This window comes from Homo sapiens, chromosome 3 (genome assembly GCF_000001405.40).
Source record: "Homo sapiens chromosome 3, GRCh38.p14 Primary Assembly".
Lineage (NCBI taxonomy): Eukaryota > Metazoa > Chordata > Mammalia > Primates > Hominidae > Homo > Homo sapiens.
In genome coordinates, this window is record NC_000003.12 from 28,434,653 (window position 1) to 28,453,670 (window position 19,018).

The 19,018-nt window shown below is 37.5% G+C and overlaps 1 protein-coding gene and 1 pseudogene across 4 annotated transcripts in view; both read left to right on the top strand.

Annotated features, from left to right (window-relative positions):
* ZCWPW2 (zinc finger CW-type and PWWP domain containing 2) overlaps positions 1-19,018 on the top strand; it is a 177,638-nt gene that overhangs the window by 85,932 nt on the left and 72,688 nt on the right. For all 4 annotated transcript variants that reach the window (NR_136708.2, NM_001040432.4, NM_001324169.2 and 1 more), the window contains one exon: positions 458-617. Coding sequence is in view for 3 of the 4 variants with exons in the window: in NM_001040432.4 (NP_001035522.1) it covers positions 458-617 (160 nt within the window). In the remaining variant the exon portion in view is untranslated. The remainder of the gene's footprint in view (positions 1-457; positions 618-19,018) is intronic.
* Positions 13,042-13,463, top strand: RPL34P11 (ribosomal protein L34 pseudogene 11; annotated as a pseudogene).

The following is a 19,018-nucleotide window of genomic DNA, read 5'->3' on the forward strand; positions in this document are numbered from 1 at the left end:
TCCTTTGGCAGACCTGGCTCAGGAAATACCAGCTCTCTCCCACGCCATCAGAAGCCATGCTTAGTGGGTTAACATTTTGCTAATTAATCATTTGATTTAGAGTTAATTCAGCTCTACATGAATTTGAGGAATCTTTTTTTTTCTCTTATCTTTTCTATCATCAGTGCCTAAATATCTCTTATTGTCCCTGGAGATCATTCTTTTGCTTTATAATTCTTTCCTCATGTCTTATCTATATCTTAAACTTGTGACCATTTCAAAGCTTTCTATAACTATAAAATACAATTTATTACTTGTATCAAACAAATATCCTACCTTTGAAAGATATAAGTAGGAATATATGTTTTGTGAAAAGGCATTAAAATTCAAAGGAGGAAGTTAATATGCGATTGATAGACGTGTTGATGTCTACCTTTTTAAAAGCATCAAAATAATTACAAATATTTTCTTTTGAAAGTTGGCCAGGAATACTTTGCCCTGACCGTTTTAAAGGGAAATATGTAACTTATGACCCGGATGGAAATGTTGAAGAGTATCACATAGAATTCCTGGGCGATCCCCATTCAAGATCATGGATAAAGGCAACATTCGTTGGACATTATAGTATCACATTAAAGGTAGGTATCATAACATCAAAACTTTATTCTTCTTGCACTTATTTTTAGTTATGGTAATTTTTATCTTTGATCATAAAATATGTATAAGTTGCTTTTAGATTGATATAATGTATGCTGTTTATTTAATTCAAATATTTGTATTTTTAGTGTTTTTCTCAAAGAAAGTATGGATATAAAATAGTTGTGAGAGTTTTAAATTTTATTTTTCTTTCTGTCTTTTTTTTTTTTTTTTTGGAGACAGAGTCTCGCTCTGTCACCCAGGCTGGAGTGCAATGGCGCGATCTCGGCTCACTGCAAGCTCCGCCTCCTGGGTTCACGCCATTCTCCTGCCTCAGCCTCCCACGTAGCTGGGACTACAGGTGCCCGCCACCATGCACGGCTAATTTTTTTGTGTTTTTAGTAGAGGCGGGGTTTCACCGTGTTTGGCAGGATGGTCTCGAACTCCTGACCTTGTGATCAGCCCGCCCCGGCCTCCGAAAGTGCTGGGATTACAGGCGTGAGCCACTGCGCCCAGCCTTAAATTTTATTTTTCTAATGGTAATATAATAAAAATCAACTGAAGACTTTATGTGATTGCCTTTTGAAACTATTTTAAGACTATCATTTGGTAGTTTTTAAATTCTCTTGAGAAGAGGAGACTCTATGTTATAGCCATAGCTCACAGGAAAACTTAATTATGGATTGCAACCAGTTTTTCAATTTCAAATGGAATATTTCATTTATACTAACTCCTTCAGTATCTTTTTGACTCTTTTTAAACTTTAAATCTCACATTATAATTAATAGATAGATTATTAGATTAGTGTAAAAGTAACTGCGATTTTGCTATTACTTTTGCACCAACCTAATAGTTTCTCAAATTTATGAGAATAGGTAAACTGGACCTATTTCCACATATTTGGTTTAATAAGTATAAATCAATTAAATGATCTGTGTTTATATTCTAATATTGAAACTTTTCATCTGCAAATCATGCTTTCATTAAAACTTGATAAAAAGTGGATGTCAGAAATGTGGATACCTTTTACTCAATTTGAATATTTTCTTTTTTTTCTTTTTTTTTTTTTTTTTTGTGATGGCCAGCCTTGAATTACTGGGCTCAGGTGATCCTCTTGCCTCAGCCTCCCAAGTAGTTAAGTCTACAAGCAGACACTACTGTGCCCAGCTGGATGTTTTTTGTTTGTTTTGTTAATAGATGTGTACATATTTAGAAATACAAATAAGTACATGTACGTATTTAAAACATGCAATTTAATCCACAGTAAAATTAAATCTGTGAAAATTAGGGGTACTTTTTAATGGGTTTTTACTATATCTTTGGCAAATATATAGTAAAAACTATGTATTTTATACTATTTTGTTTGGTGTTTTATACTATTCAGTTTGAAGCAGGTAAGAGGGAAGGCTGTTTTTGTGAAAACATTAAGTATGGAATAACACCATATAAATCAATTTCATGCTAGTTGTGATCCAGTCATCGTTATACGAGGCATCTTCTCTGCTCTGACGTTTTGAATGTGCTCCTAGATAGTTCTGCTGGCAACCACAGAAGACAGGATAGAATATTCCATCTTGGCCGCTTTATAAAGGATACGGGAATCTTTTAGCTGCTCATGAAGCTGACCTTAGAATCTTACCTCAGGATAGCTGAGATTTCCTTTTCTTTGAAGATGGAGATTGTATTGACTCCAATTTACACTCTATTGTCTAGACTTCCTAGGGATTTAATCTTTTATGGTCCTTTCCACTTTGGAGCTCCTATATCCTCAAATGCTGTCTCTATACTGCACCACATTGATCTAGATATTAAATACATGCTCCCAACTTCAGAAAAAAGGACAAAACCACTTACACAAAAAATACTGTATATTTAGACAATGTAGAGTTTTAAAAATTTTTTTCTAGAGGAGAAGTATGTAAATTGTACAAGTTGTCTGATCACTTTTTCTAAAACCAGATGAAGAATGATAGTCATGTATAATTTTCACTGGTTATTGCTAAATCTTACTTCATACACTATTTCAACATCATTTTCCTCTAAATTAATTCTTCTAAATTAATTAACAACTAATTAATATTTCAGGATTTTCACTAAATATGGATTCTCTATATTTTTCAGTGCATATGTGAAGGTGGTATAGACATAAATTTGCCTACAAAGACCTGCATTATATGCATTTAAATTAAATTTTTTTTGTTTTATTATGAAAATTTTAACTATTTTATTTTGGCTCAATCATGTTTGTCTAGTCTTTTAAATAGTTAATTTAATAGGTGCATGGTTGCCTTATGAGACCTCTGACTTAATTAATTTTATTAAGAGCACAACAGTACTCAGTCATTCTCTAGTCATACAGATGATAGTGTTTTCCCCTAATAAATGGAACTATTCATTGATACACTGAGATACACTCCAGAAAATAGTTGAAGGCAATATTTTTATTATAGATTTATAACTGATGTTAGTTTATATATTTTAGTTTTTAATCAGTATCTATAAACATAGCTGAAATCCAGCCTCCTCTCTTATAAAGAAGCCTTGTTATTCTTGAAAGTATTCAGAGATGGGATTCTGGGAAGATGGTAGAGTAGGAAGCACCATGAATATGTCTCTCCACCTAGACAACAATCAGACACTGGCAGAATCTGTCTAATGTAACTATTTTTGAACTCTGGAGTCTATTGAAGGCTTGAAACTTCCAGGAAAAGGCTTGGACTGTATGCTGCAGTTAATTTCCATCAACTTCAGCTCTTAACACAGTAGCAGCTACCAGTCCCCATTCCCAGCCCTGTGGCAGACAGTTGCACATGTTTCTGGAGCATCTTGCACATAGCTTACAGGAGCTGAGGTGGGCAAAGATGACCCTGTTTTTCAAATATTAGGGATCTGTGCTGTAATCACTGATTGCTGCTTATGATCACAAAGGTACAGACAATGAAAGGGGCAGCTAGCTACTGTTATTGTAATCTCCCTCATTTGTGCAAGCCCTTCCCCCTTCAGCTGAAGTGACTTCCAGGAGATTGAAAGGGCTGGCACCCTTTTGCACCACCACTTTCATTTTTCCATTTTTCCTCTTGTGAAAGCCAGACATTAAACATAGGACATTTTAAACCAACTGTATATACAGGGAAAATTAGAAAGTGACTGCGCAGGCAGAGGGAAAGGTGCAGGTTCAGAAAAGACCTGAGTGGACTTAAAGTTTTAGTTCAGGCTGATCCTTGGCACAAAGATAGCCGACAACAATAAAAAGATAAACAAAAACAATAACAAAAACAGCAAATTGTGGGGAAGATGATGAATCTGATTTTCAAACTTACCACATTATTAGACTTATATGTCCAGTTTTCAACAAAAATTCATAAGACCTGTAAAGAAACAGGAAAGTATGGCTCATTTAAAGGAAAAAAAATCAACAGAAATTGTCCCTGACAAAAACTTGATGGCAGATCTACTAGACAAATACTTTAAAGCCACTGTCTTAAAGATGCTCAAAGAACTAAAGGAAGATATTGAGAGTCAAGAACATGATGTATGAACAAAAGACAAATATGAATAAGGAATTAGAAAACCTATAAGAAAACCAAAAGAAATTTAGGAACAGAAAAGTACAACTGAAATGAAAAGTTCACTATAGGGATTCAAAGACAAATTAGAGCAGAGAGAAGAATCGGCAAACTTGAAGGCAGAACAATGGAAATTATTGAGTCTCAGTGTATTAGTCAGGGTTCTTTAGAGGGACAGAACTAATAGTATATATATATCCTAGTATATATCTATGGTGTGTGTGTGTATATATATGTGTATACACATATATATACACATATATACACACACACACACCATAGGATATATATATACACACATCATAGGATGTGTATATATATATATATATACCTACATATAAAGGGGAGTTTATTAAGTATTAACTTACATGATCACAACATCCACAATAGGCTGTCTTCAAGCTTGAGGAGCAAAGAGAACCAGTCCAAATCTCAAAACTGAAGAACTTGGAGTCTGATGTTTAAGGGCAGGAAGCATCCAGCACGGGAGAAAGATGTAGGCTGGGAGGCTAGGCCAGTCTCTCCTTTTCACATTTGTCTGCCTGCTTTATACTTGCTGGCATCTGATTAAATGGTGCCCACCCAATTAAGGGTGGCTCTGCCTTTCCCAGCCCAGTGACTCAAATGTTAATCTCCTTTGGCAACACCCTCACAGACACACCCAAGATCAATACTTTGTATCCTTCAATTCAATCAAGTTGACACTCAGTATTAACCATCACAAGCCCACCCCTTGGCAACTGGAACCTATACACATCTCCTGAGATCATACATAATCTTCAAATAAAGACAATAATGAGATCATAATTATGCCTAACATAATACAACTATCCTTTGTATAATCGGAAATTCACCAGTGCCCAACCCAAATACTCTTACATAAAGTTAACAATACCTAAATGCTGATATGAAGTCAATAAATCTTATGTCACATGATAAAGGAAAAAGGAAATAAAATGAAGATATTTTCTTAGTACAAGTGTATACATGAACGAACATGTTTTTAACAAAGAAAGAGCAAATACTCATGACAATTACAGTCCCATTTCTGCAGCTGGTCATGTGGTTGTAGCTGGTATTGACAACTACCTTCTTCTACTACCCATTCTGTATTCCCTTTGCCTTCAGCAAGCATCTTGGCAGGTCATGGTTTTTTTTCCTGGTGAAGTGACCAAAACCTTCATTCCTGAGGGGTCTGGGCTATTTGTAGTCCTGCCTGGATTGGGCTGTTGTAGTTTGCCATTGACCTAATCACAGGGCATGGTAATACTAAGACAAACTCTCATAGATCTCCTGTATTCCATGCATACTCTTCCTTACCTCCATTGTGGAGTAGTAGACTGATTTCATCTTGATAGCCCAGGTCAGTCACCCAAGCCAACATTGTAACTCCTTTCATAGCCTGTTGACTTAAAGGTAGGAGAAGCCCAAAGTGTCCAGGTGGCAATCTTGCAGTTTAATGGAATCGTTGTTGTGTCTCCTGATGGCAGCATTCCTCCCTCTTGAACTAAGACCTCTAGGCCAGCAAAACATAATGTTGCAGAAACAGGAAGCAAAAATTTTACTAGTGGATCACTAGCAGTGATGGTGAGTGATGCCACTTCCATTTCTACCTCTTGATTCCTGGACCTGTGAATCCTGGCTGTGGGAGAAACAGTACCATATAATGGATGCTGATTCAGAACATATGCAGCCTTCTGGAGAACTTTGGCCAAGCCCTGCAAAGTATTGTCACCTAGTTGGCATTATAATTGTGACTTCACATGGCTATTCCACTGTTCTATCAATCCAGCTATTTTAGGATGATGGGGAACATGGTATGACCAGTGAATTTTATAAGCATGAGCCCACTGCCACGCTTCTTTAGCTGTAAAGTGAGTGCCTTGGTCGGAGGCAATGCTGTGTGGAATACTATGATGGTGGATAAGGCATTCTGTGAGTCGATGGATGATAGTCTTGGCAGAAGCATTGTGTGCAGGTTAGGCAAACCCATATCCAGAGTAAGTGTCTAGTCCAGTGAGGACCTCTGCCTTTTCCATGGTGATAGAGGTCCAATATAATCAACTAGCTACCAGGTAGCTGGCTGATCACCCCAAGGAATGGTGCCATATCGAAGACTCAGTGTTGGTCTCTGCTGCTGGCAAATTGGGCACTCAGCAGTGGCTGTAGCCAGGTCACCCTTGGTGAGTGGAAGTTGATGTTGCTGAGCCCATGCATAACCTCCATCCCTGCCACCATGGCCACTTTGTTCATGGGTCTATTGGGTGATGACAAAGATGACTGGGGAAAGAGGCTGAGTGGTGTCCACAGAACAGGGTCATCCTATCCACTTGATTTTTGAAATCCTTCTTTTCTGGCGTCACCTATTGGTGAGCACTCACATGGGATACAAATATCTTCACCGTTTTTGACCACTCAGAGAGGTCCATCCACATACCTCTTCCCCAAATTTCTTTGTTACCAATTTTCCAGTCATGCTTCTTCCAAGTCCCTGACCATCCAACCAAACCATTGGCTACAGCCCTTGAATCAGTATATAATCACACATCTGGCGATTTCTCCTTCCATGCAAAGTGCACAACCAGGTGCACTGCTTGAAGTTTTGCCTACTGGGAAGATTACCATTCACAACTCTCCTTCAGGGATGTCCTAGAAAGAGGCTGTAGTGCTGCAGCTGTCCACTTTCGAGTGGTGCCTGCATATGGTGCAGAACCATCTCTTCTTCTGTCAACTGATCATAGGGAATTCATCATGAGGCCATTGGTGCAAGCTGGGGGAGAGAAGGCAGGGTGGCAGGACTGGAGACCGTGGGCATTTGAGCCACTTCCCCATGTACCTTACTTGTGCCTTCAGGACCTGCTTGAGCCCGATCACATGTACCACTTCCATTTGATTATGGAATGCTGCTGTGCACAACCCATTTTATGGCTAGATGGGTCAGAAAGCACCCAGTTCATGATAGGCAGTTTAGGTCACCCGGGCACTTGATAATCCATAGTCAAATATTCAGTTTCCACCAAAGCCCAGTAACAGACCAAGAGCTGTCTCTCAAAAGGAGAGTAGTTATCTGCAGAAGATGGCAGGGCCTTGCTCCAAAATCCTGGAGGCCTCCACTGTGATTTACCTATTTGGGCCTGCCAAAGGCTCCAGACAGCATCCTTATCTGCCACTGACACTTCAAGCAACATTGGTTCTGCTGGGTCATATGGCCCAAGTGACAGAACTGTTTGCACAGCAGCCTGGACCTGTTGCATAGCCTTCTCCTGTTCTGGACCACACTCAAAACTGAGAGCCTTTTGGATCACTGACTAAATGCACCAGAGTAACACACCCAAATGAGGAATACGTTGCCTCCAACATCCAAATAAACCCATTAGGCATTGTGCCTCTTTCTTGGTTGTAGGAGAGTCCAAATGCAGCAACTTATCCTTCACCTTAGAAGGAATATCTCAACAAGCCCCACACCGCTGGACTCCTAGAAATTTTGCTGAGGTAGAAGTTCCCTGAATTTTAATTGGATTTATTTCCCATCCTCTGGCAAGCAAATGTCTCACCAATAAGTCCAGTGTGTTTGCTACTTCTTGCTCACTGGATCCAGTCAGCATAGTGTCATCAATATAATGGACCAGTGTGATATCTCATGGAAGTGAAAAGCGATCAAGGTCTCTTGAATAAGATTATGACACAAAGCTGGAGAGTTGATATACCCTTGAGGTGCGACAGTAAAAGTATATTACTGGCCTTGCCAGCTGAAGGCAAATTGCTTCTGGTGGGCCTTATGGACAGGAATGGAGAAAAAGGTATTTGCCAAGTCAACGGCTGCATACCAGGTATCAGGAGATGTGTTAATTTGCTCAAGCAATGAAACCACATCTGGTATAGCAGCTGCAATTGGAATCACCACTTGGTTACACTTATGATAATCCACTCTCCAAGATCTATCTGTCTTCTGCACAGGCCAAATGGGAGAGTTGAACAGGGATGTGGTGGGGATCACCACCCCTGTGTCCTTCAAGTCCTTGATGGTGGCACTAGTCTCCACAGTCCCTCCAGGGATGTGATATTGTTTTTCATTTACTATTTCTCTAGGTAGAGGCAGCTCTAATGGCTTCTATTTGGCCCTTCCCACAATAATAGCCCTCACCTTACCAGTCAGGTAGCCAATGTGGGGGTTCTGCCTGCTGCTAAATATGTCTATGCGAATTATGCATTCTGGCACTGGGGAAATGACCGTAGGATGAGTCCAGGGACCCACTGGACCCACTGTAAGTCAGACCTGAGCTAAAACTCCATTAATTACCTGACCTCCATATGCCCCTACTTTAACTGGAGGACTACAATGACATTTTGGGTTCCCTGGAATCAACGTCAGCTCAGAGCCAGTGTCTAGTAGTCCCTGAAATTTCTGATCATTTCCAGTGCACAGTTACCCAGGTGAAAGCCCAGAGGTCTCCTTGGGGACATGTGGAAGAAAGGTTCACTGCATAAATTGTCGGTAATTTAGTGGGGTCCTTCCTCAAGGTGACCCGGCCTCCCCTTCATTCAAGTGGTTCTGGGTCTGTAAACTGGCTCAAGTCTGGAAATTGATTGAGGGGGTGTGGTTCTCTGTTTTTCTAATTCAAATTAGTCTTTTGTCCATTCAACCTAGAAGTTTTCTGCTTGTATAAATTAAGTAGGAATGCAGTAGGCTTCGTATCAATTGCACTTCTAGGAACATTGTGATTAACTAGCCAATACCAGAGCTCTACACAAGTCAGACTATTCTGATTACTGCTTTGCTTCTGCTGTCCATTACAGTAGCTATGCCCACCTTGCCTTTAATGGTTGAGTATCATCACTTGGCCTCTGCCACCTTGGGATCCAATGATCCTCATTGTATTTAAATTTTGTAGTTGAGTAACTGTGGTTCCCACTGTTAGATCTGACATACAGAGAAGAGCAATTACAGGGCTCCTCAAAATTGCAGATGCTGCCCTCACAAATCTGTTTCACAAGGCATTGGTGAAGGGTATATCTTCTGGACCCTTCCAGCTAGGATGAGTAGGTCTAAGTGACTAATCCACTCCACCATCCCAATCTCCCTAAGCCTTTGGACCCCTTCCTCTACATTGAACCAAGGGAGATTAGGCACTTCCAGCTCACTCACAATGAACCATCTTTTAATCCATGTTTCATGTGACCAAGCAAATAAACTATTAGAACCTTTTTTTAACTCCCCAAGCTGCAACATTAAAAGCAGAATCCCTACTTAGTGGTCCCAAATCAACAGATTCAGCCTGATCAAATTCTGTCTTCCTTCCGCCATTATCCCACACCCTTAATATTCATTATTATGCTTGTTCACCAGATTTCTGTTTATATAAATTAGAGAACTCAAACAGCCCTTCTTGAGTGTAGCACGCCTCCTCATGGTCACACTCTCAACCTCACCTCTAGGGATCTACCAGGACTTTAGTCTAGTTATAGGTCTAGAAGATAACATGAGTGTTGAGGGTGGCTCCTGAGGAGAATCAACATTATTTTCCCTGGCAGCTGCATCAGGGGAGGCCATCACTGTTGTCTCAGGCAGTGTAGGGTTTATCTCCTCAGACAAAGGCAGAAAGGATGATGGCAGCATGGGTCAGGGAAGGGAAGTTGCCACTACAGAGTTTATAAATCTAGTGTCCCCAGCTTCATCAGGGTCCTCCCACATGTCCCCATTCCACATTGCAGGGTCCCATTCTTTTCCAATCAATGCCTTCACTTTTAGAGTAGACACCTGGTGAGGCTGTGCATGCACCTTTCTTTGCAGGTCAGTCACTCGCATGATAAGAGCTTTCCACAATTTCAGCTCTTCCTCTACAGGAGATAAGACTCTCACTTAGGGCAATCTTAGCAGATTTGAGGCTCAGTATCTGCTTCTGAAGCCAGGAGTTAGAATCGCTGAGTTCATCATTTGCTTTCATCACTTTGTCCACTGAACCTAGGAGGGACCAACCAGCTTCATTATAGTCCTTGGTTCTCCAGATATGGTCAAACGTATTATGTATAGAGTCACTAAACTTCTTGCCTCACATGGGCAGTGAATCAGGAGTGTCAAATGCATTTATTTGGCTGTCTAAAGTGTTCACACCAAGGAGTATCAGTGTTTCTATACTGATATGCTCTATAGAAATAGAGTCCTTAGCATTCTGGGGTCTATCATATTAAGCAGCCAACTCCAGAAACCCCCAAACCAACAAAAGAGCTCCATCCTTAATATTCTATTCCTCTGGAACCACTCCTGGTACCAAAATCTATATTAGTCAGGGTTCTCTAGAGGGATGGAACTAATAGGATATATAGGTATATATCCTATTATATACCTATCATATATATATATATATATATTTGAGTTTATTAAGTATTAACTCACCACTTGGGTTACAGAGTGAGGCCCTAACATTATTAGTCTAAAAGCTAGTATATGTAACTTTGGTTTATAGCTCCACATTTTGTTTTCTGCATAACTTAAGATACTGATGCACTGCAAAGAATTATTAGTTTATATTTTTGGGCAAACAACATATAAAGATGAAATTTCGTGACAACAACTGAAAGGGGTGGGGATGAAGCTGTTAAGGGAGCAGAATTTGTGTATGTTGGGGAAGATAAGCTGGTATAAATTCAAATTAAAGTGTTATAACTTTAGGATGTAATCCTCGTGTTAAACACAAAGAAAACAGCTATAGAATATATGCACAAGGAAATGAGAGAGGAATTTAAATGTTTCAGTATAAAAAATTAAACACAAAAGAAGCCAGTAAGGCAAGAAATGAGGAACAAAAAGCTGTAAGACATGTTGAAAACAAATAGCAAAATGACAGAAATAATTGCCTTATTAGTAATTATTTAAATGGGTTAAACTCCCCAGTCAAAAGACAGAGATTAGTAGAATGAATAAAAAGACACGATCTTACTATCTGCTCTCTAACAAGAGATTCACTTTAGATCCAAAGACACAAATAGACTGAAAGTGAAAGAATGAGAAAAGATGTTCCGTGCAAATAGTAACCAAAAGAGAACAGGGGTTGCTATACTAATATTGGACAAAATAAACATAAATGTTACAAGAAACAAAAGAAAGATATTTTGATTAATAAGATGTTCAATATAGCAAGAAGAGATAGCTATTATAAACATGCATCTGTTAAAAGATTATTAAAACATATGAAGCAAAATCTTCCACAACTGAAGGGAGAAATGGACAGTTCAACAATAATAGTTGGAGACTTAATACCCCATTCTCAGTAATGGATAGACCACCAGGCAGAAGATAAGTAAAGAAATAGAGAGCTCAAACAACACAGTAAACCAACTAGATTTAACAGGCATGTACAAAACACTCTACCCGACAGGACTAGTATACACATTTTTCTCAAGTTCACATGGGACATTTTCTACAATAGATGACATGATGGACTACAAATTATGTCTCAGGAGGTTTTTAAAAGATAGATATAAGGCAGAGTATTATCTCGGACCACAATGAAATGAAGGTAGAAATAATAACAGGTAAAATTAGAATTTGTGGGAATTGAACACCCCAAGACAACCAATGAATCAAAGAAAAAATTGTAAGGGAAACTGGAAAACACTTAGAGATGAATGAAACACATCTTAGAGAAAGTGAAAACACAACACACTAAAACTTAATAGTATGCAATGAAAGCAGTACTGAGGGAGAAATTTATACCTACAAACACTTATTAAAAAAACAATAAATATTTCAAATCAACAACTTAACTTTACAACTTAAAGGACCAGAAAAAGAAAAACTAAATCCAAAGCTACTAGAAGGAAGGAAATATTAAAGATAAGAGCAGAGATAAGATATATAATAGAAAAACAATAGAGAAAATCAATGAAAACAGAAGTTGGTTCTTTGAAAAGATCAATAAAACTGTCAAACCTTTAGCTAGATGGACTAAGAATTAAAGAGAAAAGACTCAAATTACTAAAGTCAGAAATAAAGCAGGGACATTACTACCAATTCTACATAAATAAAAATGACTATAAGAGCATACTGTGGACAGTTATACAGCAATGAATTGGATAACCTAGACAAAATGGACAAATTCCTGGAAACACAGAATCTAGCAAAACTAAAGCATGAAGAAATAGAAAACCTGAGTAGACCTGTAACTAGTAATGAGATTGAATTAGTAATCCAAATCTCCCAACAATAAAGAATCTTAGACATGATGGCTTCACTTTGAAGTCTACCAAACACTTAAAGAACAATACTGATCCTTCAAATCCTACTTTTCCAAAAATAGGAGGGCACACTTCCTAACTCATTCTATAAGGCCAGCATTACTCTGGTACAAAAGACACATAAAAACACTGCAAAGAAAGAAAAGTATAGGCCAGTATTCCTTATTTACATTGATGGAAAAAGTCAACAAAATACTAACAAACTTAATTCAGCAGAATAGTAAAAGAATTATACACTATGGCCAAATAGGATTTATCTTGGAATGTAAGAATAGTTCAATATATAAAAATCAACTAATGTAATACACCACATTACCAGAATGAAGAAAAAAAATGATCAGCTTAATTAATGTAGAAAAAGTATTTGACAAGATGCAACAACCTTTCATGATTTAAAAAAAAAAACACTCAACAAACTAGGAATGGAAGGCTACTATCTCAACATAATAAAAGCCATATATGAAAACTCATGGCAAACATTATATTCAAAGATGAAGGATTAAAAGCTTTTCTTCTGAGATGAGGAACAAAGCACAGATGCCAACTTTCACCATTCTATTCAACATAGTTCTGAAAGTTCTAGCCAGAGCAATTAGGCAAGAAAAAAGAAATAAAAGATATCTAGCTTCCACGAACGTTGTCTAGAGGCACTCAGAATGGTCCAGCATTTGACATACCATCGTAGGGTTTCCTACAATACAACCACTAATAAAACTAGGCTTTCCTGAACCCCTGGCAATAGAATTGTTTACCTTTATACAAAGAAGGTTGGGAAAGCACCAAATCTGCATGTGGTGTGTGCCCAGGCAGACTTAGAGGGGTTCGTGCTGTGAGGCCTAAAGTTCTTATGAGATTGTCCAAAACAAAAAAACATGTCAGCAGGCCCTATGGTGTTTCCATGTGTGCTAAATGTTTTCATGACAGGATCAAGTGTGCTTTCCTTATTAAGGAGCAGAAAATTGTTGTGAAATTGTTTAAGGTACAAACACAGAGTCAGAAAGCTAAATAAAAAATGAAGCTTTTTTTAAGGGTAATAAAAATTAAAAGGCTTAAAAAAAAGATCAAAATTGGACAGAAAGAAGTAAAATTATCTTTGTTTGCAGGTGATATGATCTTCTGAGTAGGAAACCTTAAAGATTCCACAAAAAAATTAGAACTAATAAGTGAATTCAACAAAGCAGCAGGATTCAAATACAACAAAGAAATTCAGTTGCATTTCCATACACTAAGAATGCCAAAAGATAATTATAAAAATGATTCCATTTACAATGGCATCAAAAAGAACAAACTACCTGAGAATTAACCAAGGAGATCAAATACTTGTACAATGAAAACTACAAAACATTGGTGAACAAAGTTAAAGAAGATATAAATAAATAGAAATATGTTCCATGTTCACAGACTGGAACTTACTATAGTTAAGGTGTCAATACCGGCCAGATGTGGTGGCTCATGCCTGTAATCCCAGCATTTTGGGAGGCTGAGGAGGATGTAACACTTGGGGCCAGGAGTTCGAGACCCGCCTGGCCACCATGGAAAAACCCCACCTCTACTAAAAATACAAAAATTAGCCAGGCATGTTGGCGCATGCCTATAATACGAGCTACCCGAGTGGCTGAGGCATGATAGTTGTTTGAATCCAGGAGGCAGAGGTTGCAGTGAGCTGAGATTATGCCACTACACTCCAGCCTGGGCTACCAAGTGAGACTCTGTCTCAAAAAAAAAAAAAAAAAAAAAAAAAAAAAAAAAAAAAAAAAAAAAAAAAAAGGCAATACTACCCAAAGCAATGTACAGAGTCAATGCAATCCCTATTAAAATCCTAATGGTATTTTTGCATGAATAGCAAAACCCATCCTAAATTTATTTGGAATCTCAAGGGACCCTGAATAGCCAAAACAATCTTGAAGAAGAACTAAGCTAGAGGACTCACACTTCCTGATTTCAAAACTTAGGACAAAGCCACAGTAAACCTATAGACAAGTGGAATAGAATAGACAGCCCAGAAATAAATTCTCACGTAAATAGTCAAATTATTCTTGACAGTGGGGCAAAGACCATTCAATGGGGAAAGGACAATCTTATCACCAAATGGTGCTCAGAAAAATTGGCTAGTCACATGCAAAAAACTGAAGCTAGACCCTTACCTAAAATCATGTACAAAAACGACCTCATAACAGATCAAAGACCTAAATGTAAGACCTAAAATTCTAAAGTCTTAGAAGAAAACACAGGACAATAACTAGTGGCATATACCAACAATGGAATATTATTTTGCCTTAAATAGAAAGGAAATTCTGACATGACACATCATGAAAGAACCTTGAGGATATTATGATAAGTGAAATAATGCAATCACAAAATGACAAATACCATATGATTCCATTTATATGAAGTATTTAGAATAGTCAAAATTATGGAGACAAAGTAGAATGGTGCTGCCAGGGGCTGAGGGAAGTAGAGAATAGGAAGTTATTGTTTAATGGACACAGAATGTCAGCTTTCAAGATGAAAACAGTTATGGAGATAGAGGGTGGTGATGATTGCACAACATTATAAATGTATTTAGTAACACCAAACTGTACACTTAAAATAGTTAAGATGGTAGATTTTATGTGTATTTTATCATGATAAAAAATTACAGAAGTATGTTTTCAGTATTTATATTACTCTAGTAATTACTCATAGAAATAACCATGAACATGTGCTGCAGGGCTATTTTTTTAAGCTGATGCATGGTATAGAATTCTTCCCCATTAGTACAAATGATTTTTCTTTTATATTTAGTAGGTACATATCTGTGGAACCCATGATTTAAAAGTTTATTTTGTAGCTTGATAGATTACATGATTTAGTGTAGTGTTTTAGTGTAGAGTAATGTAGTGTTTGCTCTTCATGCAAGTCTTGCTGTGCATTAGGAAGCTTTACAAAACAAAAACAGTAAGAAAAACACAGAAATGTCTGAGCCTCACTCTACTGGATCAATTAAATCAGAATCTCTTGGAAAAGGGCCAGGCATAAGCACTTTTAAGTTCCTTAAGCATTTGAAGTTCCTTAAGTTTTAAGGAGAGAGAACCTCTGATTAAGTTTTTCTCAACTTGAGGCATTACAGTTTTGTTGGTTTTATCCCTACTAGTGTAGTAGTCTAACTTTGGTTATGGTTTATAGCTTTCTGTTGGCTTTCTTTGGAGTACTTCTTTTGTTAGCCTTTCTCTTTCATTTGCCTGGACTGGAAATTATGCTCACTGCCATAAGCTTACATGTCTAACCCAATAGTAATCAGTTTAACTGAGCACAACGTTGAGGTCATTCTTGTCATTCAATATTATTTATAATTTGTAGATATTGCTGATTCAGAATTTTGACTTAATGTTTATAGCATGTTTAAGTTGATCAACCAGCTTGTAGGTGGCATAGAGCCATTATAATTTTTCTTGGGCATAAATAATGTATTCCTATTAGCAGTATAGTACAACCAGTAATTGCTTAGACTGCACTTTTGTAGTTTTTTTATGTTGCCAAGAAAAAGTAGATGGTTCATCTCTGATGCTATGATGCTCCTATAGTAAAAATGTAGCTTGTCTTATCCATGATGTGAGTGGATGTTTTTGGCCATATATCTTAGTGGTCTGCTTATCATTGTATGTAAGATATTCCTATATACATATAGAACTATTTTGGGGGGTACCAGAGATCATTTGGGTGTTTATCCATTGTATTATGACGTTTACCCATATTGTCTAGGGAAATGGAAAGGGAGCTTTGCCATATTGCTAAACTTGAGCTTTATAGCTCCAATAATGCTGCTTTCTAATTGTGATAGTCATTAATATTGTTGATCAGCTTTCCAGATCTCTGCCTTCCTGCTGCAAAATAGACTTGCACATTTGACACCCTTATTGTAGGTAGGACCAGTGGCTTGTGAGTGAAAGTGATGAATATCACTTGTTTGAGCACTTCACTGCTAGTGAAATATCATCCAGAGTTCTTTCTTTCCATGGCACAGTGACTGGTAATGTTTGAGGTGTCGGTTTGCTGTTGCCTCAGCCTGGATCCTGAGGGACTGCATTCAACATGTGCTGTGATGACTCCAATAACAAAAAGAGGCCACTAATGTTTATATCAATCATATATTGAGTCTATATATGTAGGCTAAAGATAGGTAGATCTTTTAAACATAATATTTAAAGTCTAACAGCCATCCCTTGAAGGTAGACATCATCACTATTTGACATATGGAAGAAACGGAGACTCAGCCTACATGTCTTCTCCAATGTCTGTCAGCTAAATGACAGGGCAATGGTTAGAATCCATATATCAAGTCCAAATTCTTTTCTCTTTGTACACTATGCCAACATATATATGCATAAGCAGTGACCTAATTTATTTTTGAATGTTTTCTCACATTTGTACCTACAATGAGGAAATTTTTTGTTTTTAAATACATGTTGAATGATGGAAGTCTCTGGTAGACTTGCTCTTTACTTGCTGCTCAATGCTCCCCTATGGAGGAATAAAGACCAAGAAGAACAGGCAGAATTCTTATTTTCAAATTCCATTTGCAGTGGTCATTTGACTAGTACATCTGGATTAACATCTAATTAAAAAGTGTTTTGCTTCTAAGATTCATTAGGATCCCAATTCTAAGATGTAGTCTGTGATAAGGATTAGTAAACAAGTTTATAGCTTCATCATCTGGCAGCATTTTGCCATCAGAGTAGTGGAGTGAAACAGGATACAGATTTATTAGCCGACACACTGGAAAAATACGTTGGAAAATAAAAACTAAAAACTAAAAAACTCTTGCACCATGTTCCTACTATCAAATAATCTTGTACAGCTACCAAATTCTCAGCAAAATTTTATTAAACTAATCCCATAGTTGGCATAAAATTTGCTGTAATTTTGTGATTATTAGATTCAACCTTTGTTTGTTTTCTAAACATCATTTTAGGTTTTGTCCTGGAGAAAGGTTGAAGGAATTAGAGCATGACTCTATAACTGTGACATATTTGTGAATAATCTTCCAAGAAAAACTTTGGTAGTAATTTACAATAGGAAAAGAATAAAGTTGTCAAAGTGGTTAACATAGTGGTTAAAAAGGCAGACTCTAGAATCAGGTTCTTTGGCTTGAAGGATAGCTCTGCTACTTACTAGTGCTTGACCTAAGACAAGTCACTTAACTTTTCAAATCCCAGATACCTCATCTTATTTATTTATTTATTTGTTTATATTTTGAGACAGAGCCTCACTCTGTCACCCAGGCTGGAGTGCAGTGGCACAGTCTCGGCTCACTGCAACCTCTGCTGCCCCAGTTCAAGCGATTCTCCTGCCATTCTCCTGCTTCAGCCTCCGGAGTAGCAGGGATTACAGGTGCCTGCCACCGTGCCTGGCTAATTTTTGTAGTTTTAGTAGAGACGGGGTTTCACCAGGTTAGCCAGGCTGGTCTTGAACTCCTGACCTTGTGATCCACCCACCTCAGCCTCCCAAAGTGCTGGGATTACAGGCATGAGCCACTGTGCCTGGCCACCTTATCTTTAAAATAGAAATTGTGATAGCATCTGCCTTATAAAGTGGATATGAGTGTTAATTGAGATAATACATGTAAAGCATTTAGCATGTGCTTGTCATACAGTAGGCTCTCAATAAATGTTAGTTGTTAGTATTCGTTGGAAGTAACAGGTTAAATATATAGTCAAATTATCTATTTCCTTTCCCTAGGACCCCATCTCTATAGGGGAGAGTACCAAAAAGATGCTGAGAACAATAAGGTGGAGAATAGTATCTTTTATTTTGACTTAAGATCATATATAGAAAATTACGTGATTTTAATGGTCTTTATCAACAAACACAATGCTCCCAGAAATTGAGAGAAGTAGAGCTAGTTGATCATCTTATTCTTTGATTCTTCAGTACATGACTGAAATGAGACCATTGCTGCAATGTTTTCATAGTTTAGCGTAAACAGAAGTGTCAAGAACTATTGAAAGCAGGAAATAAGTTAGAGCCTTCTTAATCTGACTCCTTGGTGAATGAATAAGCCCAATATCAGCAGTGTCTCCAGCATACTTTGGATTTGTTTGATGGAATTTGGAAGGAGAACAGGAAATACTATATTTCATGTTCTTTGCAACTGAATGAAACCAGTTTCTTTCCCTATCTCTATTCTGCTTTTTGGATTCACTCACATTTATATATGCTGACTTCGCAGCACCAACTAAATTGTTGAATTCACCTCTATCATCTCTCAACTTCATCTCTTATGAATTTAGATAGCTGTGAACTTGTACTGAAGTTAAAAGTCCAAACTAAATAATATGACCAACTTCACTCAGTATATAAAGAATGGAACAGGTGGCTACCTTTTCCATCATCAAATGCATGAAAAATGTATCAATTAGGTTTATCATATTGACCCTTCAATGGAACAGCAATATTCTTTTCTAAGAAATTGCAATATATAGCTTTCTCAATTTTCTAAAAGTGCTTATTTTCTGTTAAAGAAAAAAAACATGAATCAGGTCATTGTTTTTAAGCCAATATACAAGACTCACAAAATTGCCCTGAGAGTCATTTCCCTTATATGTAAAGTTGCCTTATAATGA